At 35.6% G+C, this 18,165-nt stretch overlaps 1 protein-coding gene and 1 pseudogene across 35 annotated transcripts in view; one reads left to right on the top strand and one right to left on the bottom strand.

Moving 5' to 3' along the window:
• CCDC171 (coiled-coil domain containing 171) overlaps window positions 1-18,165 on the bottom strand; it is a 556,042-nt gene that overhangs the window by 324,230 nt on the left and 213,647 nt on the right. For all 35 annotated transcript variants that reach the window (XR_007061261.1, XR_001746227.3, XR_001746228.3 and 32 more), the window contains 3 exons: window positions 6,871-7,097; window positions 5,547-5,729; window positions 3-188 (listed from right to left, as the gene is read on the bottom strand). Coding sequence is in view for 30 of the 35 variants with exons in the window: in XM_047422930.1 (XP_047278886.1) it covers window positions 3-188; window positions 5,547-5,729; window positions 6,871-7,097 (596 nt within the window). In the remaining 5 variants the exon portion in view is untranslated. The remainder of the gene's footprint in view (window positions 1-2; window positions 189-5,546; window positions 5,730-6,870; window positions 7,098-18,165) is intronic.
• RNU6-14P (RNA, U6 small nuclear 14, pseudogene) lies at window positions 8,411-8,515 on the top strand (annotated as a pseudogene).

Raw genomic sequence — 18,165 nt, 5'->3', positions numbered from 1 at the left:
ACCTTAACAGCTTCTCCAAGAGTTTGGTTTTTGTCAGCTTCCTCACTGGAGTGCAATTCAAGTTTATAATTCAATTCCTGTAGTTGTTGTGCCTGTTCATTCAATAGCATTTGTGCCTGCTCTTCCCGAAGTAATGCATTATTTAGTTCTTCACATGCACTTTCAAACTTCTCATGGGTGATCAATTTCTGTAAAAAGGAGGAGAGGGGAGAATCAGTTATAAAGCTAACTGCATTGTTGTATCATTTCACCTTCAAAACTAAAGGAATATAATACAAACATTTCTAGGCACTTGATACATTAAAAAAATACAATTAGCTTTTCTTAATTGCATAAGTCAAGATAAAAATACTACTGTGATTTTTAAAGCAAAACAGCCACACTTAGTTATCATTTTCAGTCAAATAAAATCTTAGAAAACTCATTTTAAATTCCATATGAATCCATGATGCTCAGTTTAAATTTTCATACATGAGCACTTTTTATAAAGATTATGATTGTGGGAATTAAAACCTTTAACAAATTCCTTGGCTTTTAAGTGATCACCTAGAAGTTTGTGTTCAGCGTATGTTATTATTCAGGTCTCCCGGTCAAATATCTTCTCCTAGGCAGGTCTTACATGACTACACCTCTCCAACTCCCAATCACTCTATTATACCATCTTGTTTTATTTTCTTCACAGCCATTGTCATTATCTAAATTCATCTCACTTTTTTTATTGCCTGTCCACACCCTGCCACCAACCACACATATAAAGGTGTAGCATCCCCAAAGCAGGGGCTTCATTTAGCTTTTCATCCAACATAGAGAAGAGTGCCTGGCACTCAGTGAGTGTTCAATATTTGTTGAATGAAATAATACTCATATATACACATCTGCCAACAAAATCTACACCATAACACACAACATGGTTTTTACAATATCATGACTGCTTTGGAGGGCACAGTACTCTGCTCTGGAATAACTAATGACAGTTCTAGACAGGGATGGAGAATCCAAGGCAAGACAAGCTTGTATTATCTCCTGTTCAAAACATTTAAACAAATGAAATCTAGATACAACAAACAACAGAGACATCGTGAAGTATAAAAAAGAGGAAGGTTTCACAAAAGGTAGATAACCTGAGAAATATATGTGGAAAACTCAAAGGAACGATTCAGGCCACTTAAATACACAAGTTATACATGTATCTATTTAAAAATTCTAACTTTCCCATTGTAAAAAAGGATGTGAGGTGGATTAATATCATTCGCCACAAATATAAAGCAGGTTGATTTGAAATTTTAACAAATCTGGGAGGAAAAAGCAGTGAAAAAAATCCTTTTGATTCTAAGCATCTAGTAACTATTGTAACTGAATACAGACTTTGTCTTTTATTTTTCTGACAAATAAGACAAAAATAGAAATGTGCATAGTCACAGTTTCCTCGTGGGCCAACAACAGCAAGCATGCAATTCATATAAAGAGAAAGACTTTTGCTGAAACTAAGTTTTAGGATAAATCAATTACATAGGTCCTTCTATATCATAATACATAAGCACTCAGTTTTATTTTGGCACCAGGTACCCTGCCTGCCACTTCTATGAAGCAACTGTCTTTTAAAACTCATTTCTCTTTTTAAGGGTGCATTCCTCAAAAATTTAAGAGTGCATTTCTCAACAATGAAGAAATTTTAAAAGCCAATAGTGTAGCATAAAAACAGATGTCTAATGATTTACCTAAGTTAATATAAATTAATGAGAATGATCACAAGACACACAGGAAAGTTGCCTCATTTTCAGAGAGTCACCTAGTAAAAGGTATATCTAATATGTCACTGATACTTGCATAGTGCTGGGATTATACAGAACACTCAACTTTTTACTCGCTGTTTAACAGCTGCCGAACTCTCCACATTGTGCTATTACAACCAAACCCTCAGCTTTCAAAACATCTAATCTAACAGTCTCCTCTCAGCACTCCAGTTATATTTCTATTTATTAACATCCCTCTATGCGCTGGGTCTTGTGAACATATATTTTTGTACCTCTTCTATCTTCAATGTGTTGTTTTAAATTACCACTCCTTGCCATGAGACCATTCTGTCCTTTTCAATCCACTTGACCATCAAGTGAATAAAGATCTTTCCATCAACATCCCCACCATTTTGCAGGACTTCCTTGTTTTAACAGAACGTGTGTTCCCTTCACAATCCTCCAAAATTTCCCCTTTACCTAAAAACTCAGGTAATTTTAGCCTCTCTTGTCCATCCATCCGTCCCAGAGACTGGCTCAATTCTGTTTATTCCTCTGTAAAGTAAATAAAATCAAGCAAGTATAGCAACGCAGAATAAGAAAGAGATGGTGTGTGAAAGCAAGTGTAAGGAGCTAATAAACAAAGATCATGAGACTGGGGAAGTTAGCTGTTAAAGAACGACTGTCAGTAGATGGACACAGTATTCCAAAACCATTAAAGTACTAAATAGCTTTCGGTGAGCAGGATGTTTCCCTTCATAATTTTAGACCAACTATAAAGAAGCTGTTTTATTCTCTCCAATACACTTTTTCTGAAATGAGCGAGAGACAAATGGTTGCAGGCACTCTCTCCAATTTTCTTAGAGGAAACTACCATCTTTTCTTCATCTATTATGTTTTTAATATAACAACCCTTTATTAGCACACCTAGGTATCAACACTAACCACTGTAATGAAGTGGATAAAAGCATGAGTTTTAGAGCCACAGGAACCAAGTTCAAAGTCTGTCATTTCCATTAATAACTATATGACTCCAGGCAAGCTACTTAGTTTCTATCTGCTCCAAAAGCCCCATCTGTAAATTAGAAATAATAATAGTATGTGAGATAATTATAAGGACCAAATGAGTCAACGTCTGTAACGTGCTTAGGGTCAGTGTCTGATACCTGGTCAACACGATCACTAAATGTTAGAAATCGTCACGTACTTCATAACTTATAATTATAGGACAATATATAAAAATTAAGTACTGGCCAGGTGTGGTGGCTCACATCTGTAATCCCAGCATTTTGGCAGGCTGAGGTAGGCAGATAACCTGAGGTCAGGAGTTTGAGATCAGCCTGGCCAACATGGTGAAACCCTGTCTCTACTAAAAATACAAAAAATTAGCTGAGCGTGGTGGTGGGCGCCTGTAACACCAACTACTGCTGAGGCAGGAGAATTCCTTGAACCTGGGAGGTGGAGGCTGCAGTGAGCTGAGATCGTACCACTGCACTCCGGCCTGGGTGACAGAGCGAGACTCCATCTCAAAAAATAAGGTAAAATAAAGTAAAAATTAAGTACCTCTTCCCTCAATTACTATGCTATTTTTATTCCTGCACTTCCTCAAACATACTCTTAATTACTGAAAGCCAGTTATTCAAAGCTCTTACAAGAGGATTCTGTCACCTTCCACTAACCTTCCCTCAAACTCTAATCTTCTCTCTAGATTCTAGAAATTAAGTCCTGACTACTTCTAAACTAATCAAAGATGCAAACTTGTTTTCTTAATACTTAACTATGGACTAGGAAATCAAATTGTGTAGAATATTTAGAATTCTTCGTATATATTCCAGGGAGCAACATATGTAAGGAATTTTCCAGTTTTTACAAAAGCCATTATTATCTAAATCTAAATACAGTTGACTATACTCTAAATCTCAAATTGCATAAATGACTGTCTGTGTCCATTTTGGTAGACTATCTCAATATCCCAAATTCAACTATTTCTATGATACAGAAGCAAATCAAACGGAAGGAGAGACATGCTTCAAAAGAATTCGTTTTTAAAAGTATAAACATCTCTTTATTATTTAAGTAAAATGGCAAAAAATGGAAAAAAATCACATATCTAAGAAAAGGGAAATACTCAAATTTTGATACATTCATATGACACACTAGTATTCATTTAACTAAAATGAAATTAATAATTAAATGACAGAGGAAAATGATTACAGTACTTTAAGTGCATACATGTATACATATATTTATATAAGTCAGGCTGCAAACTATACATACAAAATTATTCCAAACTACAACTGTGCATAAAGGCATGCACAGGCACATATATACACACGAAATGTGGAGAACAAAATGCATCCACATTTCAACAGTGATTGGTTTTGGGTGGTAAGATTAAAATGATTTTAACTTTCCTCGTTTTTAAAATAAATATAATTTTTTTTTTAGAGATGCGGTCTCACTATGTTGCCCAGGTTGGTCTTGAATTCCTGGCCTCTAGTAACCTTCCTACCTTGGCTTCCCAAAGCACTGGGATTACAGGCATGAGCCACCATACCCAGTCTAAACTTTCTTCTTAATACTTTCTTGTATTTTTACTTAAGGTTGTCATGTATAACTTTCATAATTAGAAAAAAAAAAGTTGAAGCAGCTCATCTCTTAAATTTTCCTTCTCTGAGCAAAAAACTAAGAGAAGGAAAAATTATGGTGTCTTTAGACATTTACCGAAAAGAAACCTATGGCTTAAGAGTAATTCATGATTACTTGACCTGCCTAATTCATAGGAACTCTTTGCCCTTTGAAGGTGTATCTACTTGAAATAATAATTAACACTAGCACAATTACATTATCATAGGATTAATAACTAAACTACTACACCTGCTGCTGCCTCTGTTACTGCAAATGTTAAAACTGTAAATTCCAAATTAATCAAAAGATAAAAGCACATTTAAACTGAAGTTATAGTAGCTGTTTTAAGTTGTACAGTCTTGAAGTTTCAGGGTAATCTTTTAACTCTATGTTCCCATATCCACATTAAAAACAGCAATGTTAATAACTATCCCAACTGCAAACAGAATATGTGGATGTCTGCATTATATTGTGCTTCACACAGTTAGACATTTTGTTCTTGATCTAATGGTATTTGGCATACGACTGTGCTTTTTCAGCTATTTTCTGCTTTTTAAAATAATACATATAAGTCATTGATGGACGTTAGATAAATTGAACATTTCTTTGGAAAAGCAATTTGATTTCATACTACATAATCTAATTTACTCAAAATATTCAATATAAGAAGAGAAGAGGCCAGGTGCAGTGGCTCACACCTGTAATCCCAGCACTTTGGGAGGCTGAGGTGGGCAGATCAGCTGAGGTCAGGAGTTCGAGAACACCCCGGCCAACATGGAGAAATTCCATCTCTACTAAAAATACAAAAATTAGCCAGGCGTGGTGGCAGCCACCTGTAATCCCAGCTGCTTGGGAGGCTGAGGCAAGAGAATCACTTGAACCCGGGGGGCAGAGGTTGCAGTGAGCTGAGATAGTGCCACTGCACTCCAGCCTGGGCAACAGAGTGAGACTCCATCTCAAAAAAAAAGAAGAGAGGAAATCTCTCTCCCCACTCCCCCGCCTGCCACCAACATCAGCAATTAGAGGCATTTTAGACAGGAAGTTTTCTGAAGAAAAAGAGATGTTATTAATAGGCTTTTGAATTATTTGAAAAACCACACATAACAAAAGTTAAGGAAAAAAGGATATAGAGATAAAGAAATATATATCAGCAAAGCAACAGTTTCCTAAATGATATATACTTACAGACTGCTTAAATTCATTTAATTGCATTTGCAGACCCTGGGCTTTGTCAAGCTCCTTTTTCATTTCATTCACACTTCGTTTGAATTCTGTGACCTCTAAGCGTAGTGAGCGGCGCTCCACTTCTGCAGCATGCAGTCTTTGTGTAAATCCAAGTATTTGCTTCTGCAACGATGCTGTGCTTTTCTGTTGTTAAACAAGAGCAATTTTATAAACAGTAACTACAGATTTACTAACAATAGCAATAACCATTTTACTAAATTAAATGTAACTTAGATTATCCAAAAACCAGTGCTAGCTATTACAGAAATGTAGAGGTGAAAACTTTATTTTTTATGTGACCAATAATTTGGCTTATGAAAAATGAACATCTGGAGAAAAGAAATAATCTAGATAGCTAAAAATGAAATTGACAGCTGTTTAGGTCTCATACAATTCTGTTGCAGTGCATTTATAGAGAACATTAAATTTAGCACTAATGTCATGCCTTTTTTTTTTTTTTTTTTTTTTGAGACAGTCTTACTCTGTAGGCCAGGCTGGAGTACAGTGGCACAATCTCGTCTCACTACAACCTCCACCTCCCGAGTTCAAGCGATTCTCATGCCTCAGCCTCCTGAGTAGCTGGGATTAGAGGCATGAGGCACCCACCACCACCCCTGGCTCATTTTTGTATTTTTGGTAGAGGCGGGGTTTCACCATGTTGGCCAGGCTGTTCTTGAACTCCTGACCTCAGGTGATCCACCTGCCTTGGCCTCCCAAAGTACTGGGATTACAGGCATCAGCCACCGCGCCTGGCCAGTGATTTTTTTTTTTTTTTTTTTTTTTTTTTTTTTTTTTTTTGAGACGGAGTCTCGCTCTGTCGCCCAGGCCAGACTGCGGCAGACTGCGGACTGCAGTGGCGCAATCTCGGCTCACTGCAAGCTCCGCTTCCCGGGTTCACGCCATTCTCCTGCCTCAGCCTCCCGAGTAGCTGGGACTACAGGCGCCCGCCACCGCGCCGGGCTAATTTTTTGTATTTTTAGTAGAGACGGGGTTTCACCTTGTTAGCCAGGATGGTCTCGATCTCCTGACCTCATGATCCACCCGCCTCGGCCTCCCAAAGTGCTGGGATTACAGGCGTGAGCCACCGCGCCCGGCCAGTGATTTTTGTATTTAGATATTTTGGACACTTATTTGGAAGTAATTTAGTGTATTAAAATTTTACATGAACTATAAAGAAAATCCAGATACATTCATGTACAACTAATAATTTAAACTACAAATTAGGCTAATTCAAAATTAAACCTACAAGTTCTTAGGTTACTACTAAATGAAAGTGTATACATACCGTAATGGGCACATGGCCACGCAAACCATATTTCAGGGCCAGTGTGTTTACTTTATGAAGTCCATGGGCCAGCCTCTGAACCAGGGAATCTTTTTCTACATATGTAATACTCCTGCTACTGTGCAGAGGTATACATTCCATTACCAGACTAATTTTATCCATGAGTTTTGCAAAAGAATTCTTGGCTGCACCTATGAGTAAATGTCCACAAATTCTGGAATTTGGATCTTCAAAGAAAAAGAAAAAAAGGCACAAAAATGTGAATTGTCTCTTGTGCATTTCACAACACTGCTAATCACATAATGAAAATATTTTTTAATTATATAATTCCCATTCACCTGTAGTAATTCATTCAAAAAGGTCCTTCCCACATTATTTTCACTATGAAAAAAAGGAATTCAGAGAATAGCTCACCTACTAAAGAATACATCAAAAAAAATCTGCATGTATTTACAGTATGCCATTCACATGGAATAGCATGACACTAAAAATTCATCACTCTTTTCTTTGTTTTAAAACCTAACATAAATCCATTTTCTATTTACAACTGCCAAAGCTTGTTACCTTCATGCCATACTATTTATATTCTCAGACAAGAAAATATAATTTGCCTTATTCCAAGGCAATTAAAATTTTACAACTACAATTACTTATTTCCCCACAGGATTTTGGTAATCATCCTTCTCATATAATGGACTTAAGGTCCCAGCATATCCAACATGGCCTGCTTACTGCTAGATTCATCAGGTCTGTAATTAATAATTGTGTTTAATGTTGATAAATAAAATTGTCAGTGCTCTTTCTACTAATTGGTATTCCAGATAATGGTTAATAGGTTTATTTACGCCTTAATAAAGCCATGTAATTTAGTTTTCCCTCTGCTAGGTAGGTCTTAATCTGTCATTACTTGTCTTATGATACTATCAATGTAAAATGACAAGCACAGAAAGATTATTTAAATTCATAGTATAACATTCTACATTTTTAAGAGCCTCTGCTGTTGGTGTTAATTTAAATCTTGTCTTTACATCATAAGCACAAAAAGCAAATTCAGCTAGTCTTACCAAATTAAAAATGTTTTATCCTTATAAGAATACATATAATTCAACAACTGAAGAGCAACATTGACTGAGACGGTAATCAACCAATGGTTTTCTATGGCATAAAGAACTGTCTCATGGAGACACTGTTATAAAATTTGAGCTTCATTCTACTTATTTTATTCCTCAATGTTTAAAGGACAGACAAATTTTAAAATCTATGTAGCAGCCAGAATTTGAAAATGATCTTGCTTAGGAGTTATACATAAATTGGAAATAAAGTGAATAAAAGCATAATATCCTCCAGGTAAAATTTATTTCAATCAGTTATTGATGCATCAACTTCTAGGAATATAAATATACGGTAATATAAGTTTAATTCTATATGCCACTCATTATAAACATACTCTGTGACAGTCCCATGGAAAAAAGACAAAGTATAATGAAAATACACAGTCCTTTTGTTAACAATCATATTCCTTAAATAAATAACGGATGAAGTGCTCGCTTCGGCAGCACATATACTAAAATTGGAACGATACAGAGAAGATTAGCATGGCCCTGCGCAAGGATGACACGCAAGTTTGTGAAGCGTTCCATGTTTTTATAATAATAATACAAAATAAATAAATAAATAAAAAGAAAACAATGGATGAAAAAGAACTAAGTAGCTTTATATGGCAATCAATATATAACACAGAACACTGAGTTAAAGGAATTTACTAAAGTACTATGTGAATTAAATAGGCCACTGTTGAATGAAAGAACAGTAAAATTTATTTTGTCTATAATATTCAATTTATCATTTCAATACCTAATATATATATGTATTCCCTGTTTCTCCAACTACCTTGCAATTATTTATCTGTGTCTTTTTTCATCTTAACAAACTCTTTTTATCTTCACTGGGCCAGCCCAGCATACATGGGTATTTTTTACATGTTTGTTAAATTATATTTCTTTTTATTTCCATAGCTACTGCAACAATGCTGAACACAAGAATACTAAGAGAAATTAATGTTAACTCTTAAGCTATGTCAAAGGTTCTTGTTTTTAAATAAACAATACAAAAGTTCATTATTTTAGGAAATTTCAGGATACAAAAAAATTTTTCACAGATAAAGAGCCTTTAAAAGCACAAATTAATTGTAATTAAATTTTAATAAATAGGCCGGTCACAGTGGCTCACTCCTGTAATCCCAGCACTTTGGGAGGCTAAGGCAGGCAGATCACGAGGTCAGGAGATCGAGACCATCCTGGCTAAAACAGTGAAACCTTGTCTCTACTAAAAATACAAAAAATTAGCCGGGCGTGGTGGCACGTGCCTGTAATCCCAGCTACTCAGGAGGCTGAGGCAGGAGAATCCCTTGAACTCGGGAGGGCAACAGAGCGAGACTCTGTCTTAAAAAAGGAATAAATAAATAAACAAACAAATAAGGTTTTTTACTTTGTCACAGAAATGTTTGTGTAGACACTGACTGATCTGAAGGGTGATACTAAATGACAATATAATTCTGCAATGCATTCTTCTAAATTTTTAAGAAGTGAAAGTCATATGCTCTAAGTTCCTAACTGCCGACTCTCAATGAATTACAGTAAGAGCACTAAATAATGTATGCTATAATAAGAAGTGTTTTTACAATATAGTTCACATTATACAGTACAGAGGGCAATTTTTTTTATTTCAATAGGTTTTGGAGGAACAGGTGGTGTTTGGTTACATGAATAAATATTTTAGTGGTGATTTCCGAAATTCTGGTGCACCCATCACCCAAGCAGTGTACACTGCACCCAATGTGTAGTCTTTTATCCCTCGTCACCCCTCACCCTTTCCCCTGAGTCCCCAAAGTACAATGTATCATTCTTATGCCTTTGCATCCTCATAGCTTAGCTCCCACATATGAGTGAGAACATACCATGTTTGGTTTTCCATTCCTGAGTTACTTCACTTAGAATAATGGTCTCCAATTCAATCCAGGTTGCTACAAATGCCATTATTTCGTTCCTTTTTGTGGCTGAGTAGTATTCCATGGTATATAGATACCAATTTTCTTTACCCACTTGTTGATTGATGGGCATCTGAGCTGGTTCCGCACTTTTGCAATTGCAAATTGTACTGCTATCAACATGCGTGTGCAAGTATCTTTTTTGTATAACGACATCTTTTCCTCTGAGTAGATATGTAGTAGTGAGACTGCTGGATCAAACTGTAGATTTACTTTTAGTTCTTTAATGAATCTCCACACTGTTTTCCATAGTGGTTGTACTAGTTTACATTCCCACAAACAGTGTAAAGTGTTCCCTTTTCACTGCATCCATGCCAACATCTATGATTTTTTATTTTTTTTTATTATGGCCATTCTTGCAGGAGTGAGGCAGTAATGGCATCATGGTTTTGATTTACATTTCCCGATCTTAGTGATGTTGAGCACTTTTCCATCTGCTTATTGGCTACTTGCATATCTTTTGAGAATTGTCTATTCACGTCCTTAGCCTACTTTCTGATGACTTTTTTTTTTTTTTTTTTTTTTTTTTTTTTTAAAGACAGCGTCTTGCTCTGTCACCCAGGCTGGAGTGCAATGATGAGATCTCGGGTCACTGCAACCTATGCCACCTGGGTTCAAGTGATTCTCTCACTTCAGCCTCCCGAGTAGCTGGGGTTACAGATGCCCACCACCACACCCAGCTAATTTTTATATTTTTAGTAGAGACAGGGTTTCACCACGTTGACCAGACTGGTCTTGAAATCCTGACCTCAAGTGATCCACCCACCTCAGCCTCCCAAAGTGCTGGGATTACAGGCGTGAGCCACCGCACCTGGCCTAATCAGATTGTTTTGTTCTTGCTGATTTGTTTGAGTTCTTTGTAGATTCTGGATATTAGTCCTTTGTCGGATGTATAGATTGTGAAGATTTTTCTCCCACTCTGTGGGTTGTCTATTAACTCTGCTGCTTATTTCTTTGGCTGTGCAGAAGCTTTTTAGTTTAATTATGCCCCCTCTATTTATCTTTGTTTTTCTTGCATTTCTTTTGGGTCAGAGTGCAATTCATTCTATATTAAATAAATGAAAAAACAAAAAAAAATCCTCTAGTGATACAGTTGTAAAATTATTTATATAATAATACAGAAATAAGAGGAAAAACGTCACTAAAGTTCCTCATGTATACTTGTCTAGACTGTTGTAAATGTTTGGCTTGTTACATTTAACAAATTCTTATGTTAAATACATTTGTTAATCACTTTCTTCCTATTTAATAAAATGTGTCTTTAATGAAAGAAGTGAACCCTATATTCTGAAATTACTTTTTCCAATAGAAGGGGGAAAAATGTACATCTAGGGCTAAAATCTTCAAAACAAATTCATAAAGAATTGTTTCGACCTGTAGTTCTAAATCTGTGGGCTGCAGATCTTGATGAGGTGGGGAAGGAAGGACATTGAAAAGTTATTGCAACAGTTCCACTACTTTTAGCTGCAGTAACCATTGTGCATTTTGATCTTTATCTAGCCCTAACAAAATATATGCGTGAATAATAATGATATTGTGAGTAATCAAATTAAAAGTCCCTTGAAAACATTACATAAATCAACTGCTACTCAAAATACATCTATTATGTGGAAGAGAGAGCAATCTACAACATTTTTTCTTATTAAAATGAAGTCCTCATACTCAAAGATTGAGAAATATTCCTTTAACCAAAAAAGGTAATAATTAGTAACGTTTAAAATAATGTTAGTAATGAGTATAATAGTAGCAAAAATAATTACTAATATTGTAATAATGAGTAATGTTAATAATAAGGTTAATAATATTAATAATGAGTATTGTTAACTAAATTTAATTCCACCTCAGTTCTACACACTTGGTAACATTTTGTCAACCCTGACATCTCCATTTCCCTTGCCATATTCCCATTTCTTGTTCTTAGTATTTCTCCAATTTATTCCATTTTCTCTGTAGTCATGGCCATATCTAAGACGCACTCTTCTCTAGTCTTCCCGCTCTTCAATCCATTCTCCACAAAGTAGATAGAATAACTCGTAACACACAACTAGGATCTCATCACACTGCCTGCTTTTATGCCTCAATAACTTTCTTCTCATCTAAGAATGGATTTTAAACTCCTTAAAACATGGCTCAAAAGTCCTACACATCTGGTCCCTACTTACTTTCACAGGAACATCTTTCACTATTTATATGCAACTTTCTTTATATGCAACTCCTTTTAAGTGACCCCAATATATCACAATCTTAAAGCATTCCCTCTGAGTAAAAATTATGCTTGTGTTCCAAACTGCTAATAATTTGAGAAACGTGAATATAGACATCATTTTTCAAACTGTGGAGGCAAACACTATAGTAAGATGTTTGCTTCAAAGCAATGTTTTATCTAAAAATCACTGGGCAAAACAGCCCAGAAAACGACAAAAAAAAAAGTAGTAAGCGAATTTGTCTTACTGTAAAACACACAGATATACATTCATGAAAAACGCAGTATGATACTGGTACTAGAAGAGAGGTGGAAACTAATGGAGTAAACTGGAAATACAGGAAATAGATCGATCCACGAACTTAAACAATAATTTAACGTGTTATTAATGGCATATCTTAATCAGGGAAAAGATGGATTACAGAATTTAAAAATACTGGTGCAGGCCAGGCGTGGTGAATTATGCCTGTAATCCCAGCACTTTGGGTGGCCAAGGCTGGCAGATTACTTGAGGTCAGGAGTTGGAGACCAGCCTGGCCAACACAGAGAAACCCCGTCACTACTAAAAATACAAAAAATTAGCTGAATGTGGTGGCACATGCCTGTAATCCCAGCTACTCCGGAGGCTGAGGCACAATAATCACTTGAACCCGGGAGGCAGAGGTTGCAGTGAACTGAGACTGGCCATAGCAATCCAGCCTGGGCAACAGAGACAGCCTCTGCCCCGCCCGTCCCCCCAAAAAAGCTACCTGGTCATCTGGCTGCAAAAATAGTTTAATCATTTATTCACTATTTACAGGAAAAATAATTCCAGATAAACTCAAGATTTAATGTATCGAAAGTATTCTACTAAAATATGAGCAATACTACCTTGAGGTAAGGCTAGCCTTTCTCAGTAACTTACCATAACAAAAAACAGAAATAAATGATTAATAATTTTAAACTATATAAAAATATCACAAGCAAAATTAAAACACAAGCTGCAAAATTATTTGCACTATGATAAAGTGTTAATATACATGATACACAAGGAGCTTTTATAATTCCATAAGACACAAACACACACCCCCAAATATGATCATAGTATGATCATTTGTAGAATATGAATGGGCTTATAACAAATGAAAAGATGTGCAACCTAACTACCAATCAAAGAATACAAATAAGTAATAATATAATGTCTTTTGCCTTTTACATTGATAAAGGTCAAAGAGATTATCAAAATTTTGCATGCCAAAGGTGTTATGAGAAAACCAGAACGGTCAACACTGTTCATGAAAGAACAATGTAAAGAATACTGATAGTACTTTCTAAATGTAAAATATACAATCCCATTTCTCATGAATTTAGCCCAAGAAATAACTGCACAAGTATAAGATGATTTTATATACACGCATATTAACTATAGTATGGCTGATTACAATATTGCTTAAAATGGCGAAAAAAATAAGAAAAAATAAATACTCATCAAAAGGAAATTTGCTGAGTAAATTACAGTAGATATATACAGTGCAACTAGTATGTAACTAAATACAATTAATGATATAGATTTATTTTATTGATATTAAAAAATATTCATTATCCATTGAGTGGGAGTAAAAATAATTACAATGAAGCATGATTATATGATTCCCTCATGTAAAACTGTGTGTGTGTGATTATATTTGTACACATGTATGGGATACTCGTAGAGATCATCAAAATGTTAAGAATGGTTGGAGGTGACCCTTTGAGTGATTTTTACTTTCTGTGCAGGTTTCTGTATTGTGTGAAGGTTTTACGCTGGGTATAAGCATTTTCACAGAAATAACAAAACTATTTTTAAAAGCACCATGCACTATCTTACTCACTACCTTACTCATTCATTAAACAGCTAGCTATAGAATAGCTCATATGTATAAGGGAATTGTGTTGGACAATGGAGAGAGGGGACATGTAACACTGATTAAGAATCAATAACTCCCATTTATATTGTATTATTTATTATTATACAAATGCCCCCAAATAAGAATATCCAGAAACATATTCTGATTTAGACAAATGATACTTCTGTTATCATTTTAGACAAATGATACATTTGTACTGTAGATACCTTTGGCAGTCTGGTGGAACCTATGGCTCCCCTTCTAAGAATAATCATTTTAAATCCATAAATCAAGAGATGTGGGATTACAAAGGAAACTAATTTTTCTGTAATATAGTTTTCAAAATATTTTAAGTTTGATTACTAATCCATTAAGTACAAGACAGGACATTTCAAATATAGATAAAGATAGTTTTTTAGAAGACATAGCATAGTGAAAGTTTTTGCATAAACCAAATAAGAACATTGAACTTTTTGGGTGGTCTTCAACAAGGCATCATACATGTCATGTTGGACATCAAGTTTTTTAATATATTTAAAAGTGATAAAAGTCCTGATTTACAAATATAGTATTTACTGCTACAAATATAATTAAAGCTTCGATAGTTCGTTTTACAACATAGTGGAGGGCTTCTCACAAAAAATACCAGAATTCTCCAAGGCTTTTAAATCCAAAATCTAGTGTGGTAAGTTTTTTTGTCCTAAAGTCAATGAGTTCATCTTTGGCTAGGTCAACATATTCAATGCAATTTGTATTGGAAAGGAAAGAACTATGAATCCATGGTTCAAATTTTATGCTATTTAGATAGAAGTAACTTCAGTAACTCTTTTGAAGGAGTTCTGAAGTCTTTCCAAGGGCTTAAGGCTGCTATTTCAAAGAAAATAACAGAGAATTTCGTATTTAGAGAATACTGAAAAGCAACATAAACAAAGAGTACACAGAACCTCACTTTGATGGATGAACAACTAAATGCAGAGTTGTCCTTTCACTTGGCCGGCTGCACTGCACCAGCATCCGTTGGTACGGGGGAGACTATGATGACTTGCCATGTAAGTGATGACTCTCATGATTACTGATTAGTTAAGATGAGCATAAACTACATGTGTGATAGCTGCAGTAACTGTATTACAATATAAAAATATCTGTGACTTCTATTAGCGCCAAAGTCACTATGCTGCTAATATTATCATGGTCTATCGTTACCATTCATAATTGAAGGAACTGTCAAAATTCTGTTGGCAGATAGTGAAACAAGATGTTTTTTTCTCATTCAAGTCCACAGACCGTTCCCCCAGCTCTGCTGAATTCTACCCATGGACCCTTTTGAGAAGAGGTCTATGAACCCCTGGTTAAGAGATCCCTTATTTAAGGAATATACTACCCAATCATAAATCTATATTCTTGACCCTCTCTCTCTGTCAACTTAAATTAACAAGAAAGCTACATCCCTGGACTACTTCAGTCAGAGAATGACAATATACTATCATGCTCTCAGTTTTACTGACAAGAAAAAAACTTCTGCATCTTCTAAGAAATTGCATTTAAAGACAGAAACTGCAATGTTATTCAATATTTCTAATACAATAATCCATGTAATAAATTCCTTTTAAAGTTTAGTGCCAGGAAACGTTATTTCTCATATGTCTGGAGACATAAGAGAGCATCTCACTTCTGAAGAATAATAAGCAGTTCCATTGGCTTAAATTGCAGGTTTATTATGGACAGCATTGGGAGGTGAGACTGTACAAACAGATGAGAATCTGGTCATGAAGGGTGTTGTTTATCTAGCTAAAGTGTTAATTCATGCAATAAGAAACAAGGAACAATATTGCTGCTGATACTGCGGATGAAGATAGGTGACACATCAAGCACTGCTTACATGCATTAACCAATTTAACCATCATTATAACCCCATGAAATGATATCATTATTATAACCACTTAAAATAATAAGTGAGGGGGAAAGAATAATTAAAATAATGTATCTATAGAATGACCCCATTATACTGAAATATCCAAAAAACAACTCGATATAAATACTAATTAAATACTAATATTCTCTAATAAGGAGATTACATGAGGTTTAAATTTACTTCCTTATATACTTTTATATGTTTTAGAATATTCTACAATATACTGATGCTACTTCTTTATTATTTCAATAACTCTCGTCCAAATGATCACTTTGCTAAATGAAGGAAGGCTGGGAGACAGGGAGAAAGGGTGGGTCAGTCTAAGAGTGGGCTCGTGGATACCCACTAGCAGGTTAGTAACACATGTAAAAAATGAGCTAAGACCACAGCAATGGGGCTGGGATAAAAAAATAACCCAATAAGAAATGTAGAATATGGAGAATAAGAGTAAGAATAAAAGTATGTTACAGTGACTGCTAGGTTTCTATTTTAGATACTATTTGGCAGATGGTCATGTCAATTACAAAGACAGTTTTCAGAAGGAAGTTTTGGGCCTAAGAAAATGGGTAAAAATTTGAATATGCTGAATTTTAGGGTTTTTTTTTTTTAGGAAACTCATAGGAAGCTAAGTATACAAGCTTTCAGTTCAAGAATGAGGTCTAGGTTACAGATAATATTTGGGAGCCATCAGCACATAGATGGTAAATAAAGCCCTGGCTATACATGGGACTGCTCGGGACAACAAGGAATAAAAACATAGCTAAGTGGCTGGGCGCAGTGGCTCACCCCTAGAATGCTAGCACATTGGGAGACCGAGGTGGGTGCACTGCCTAAGCTCAGGAGTTCAAGACCAGCCTGGACAACATGGAGAAACCCCTTCTCTACTAAAAATTAAAAAAATTTTTTTAATGGCTAAGAAAAGACCCATAGTCAAAGTCCTACTCCAAGAAAGGAAAGAGGGAAGGGAAGGAGGGAAAGAAAAGAAAAGAAAAAAGAAAAAGAGCCCATAGGGCACACAAACACTGAACAGAAAGGCCCAAGGACATGAAAAGAGGAGAAACAGGAGTAATATCATGGGCATCAAAAGAATCTGGAAGAAGGAAGTGATCAGCAATGTCAAATACCAAAGGCAGGACAGTGGTCTTTAACTGTCCTCACTAATGTACTCTGTAATTTTTTTTAACTATGTATGCTGTGGTAGGAAGAATAATGACCTCGCTAAAGATGTCCACATTCTAATCCCTGGAACCTGTGACTGTGTTATGTTACACAACGAGAGAGAATTAAGGGTGTAGATGGAATGAAGTTTGCTAATCAGTGGACTTTAAAATACAAAGATTATCTTGGATTATTCAAGTAGACCCAACATAATGACAAGAGTCCTTTAAAGTGGTACACAGAAGAAGAGGTCAGAGTCAGAGAGAGATTTGCAGATGTGATGCTGCTGGCTTTGAAGATGGAATAAAGAGCTATAAACTAAGGAAAGCAGATGGCTTCTAAAAGCTGCAAAAAGAATCAGATTCACCCTTACAGCCTCCGGAAGGAATACAGCCCTGCCAACACCTTGATTTTGGCCCAATAAGACCTATTTCAGACATCTGATCTCCAGAAATATCCGATAATAAATTCGTGTGGTCTTTAGCCACAGATTGTGACAATTTGTTAGCCCAATAACAGGAACCTGATATGTATGCCCTCACACATTTTTAAGTTTACATCTAAAAAAACTTTCGTCATGTATTTTTAACCAGTTGTAAAGCATATCATTCCTGGTATGCTGTAAATTTTGGCATTTTTAAAAAAAACTGACACATCCCTCCTTTAAATATAACCAGTAGAAACCAGGTGCAGTGGCTCACACCTGTAATCCTAGTACTTTGTGAGGCCAAGGCAAAAGGATTGCTTGAGGCCGGGAGTTTGAGACTAGTCTGGACAACATAGTAAGACTCCCATCTCTACAAAAAACAAACCTTAGAAATCAGCTGAGTGTGGTAGCACACATCTGTAGTCCTAGATACTCAGGAGGCTCAGGCAGGAGGATCCCTTGGGCCCAGAAATTTGAAGCTGCAGTGAGCTATGATTGCACCACTGTACTCCAGCCTGGGTGACAGAGACAGAGAGCCCTTATCTCAAAAAATATAAAATAAAATAAAAATAAATGTAACTAAGAGAATCTAAATGCCAGGAAGAGTTGGCCCTTACCATAATACATTTTTAAAATACATGAACAAGCTCTTCCTTAACAATCAGAAATTCTGCCTTATTTGTT

This window comes from Homo sapiens, chromosome 9 (assembly GCF_000001405.40).
Source record: "Homo sapiens chromosome 9, GRCh38.p14 Primary Assembly".
Lineage (NCBI taxonomy): Eukaryota > Metazoa > Chordata > Mammalia > Primates > Hominidae > Homo > Homo sapiens.
The sequence above is the reverse complement of the archived record's forward strand: the minus strand, read 5'-3'. Positions and strand labels throughout refer to the sequence as shown.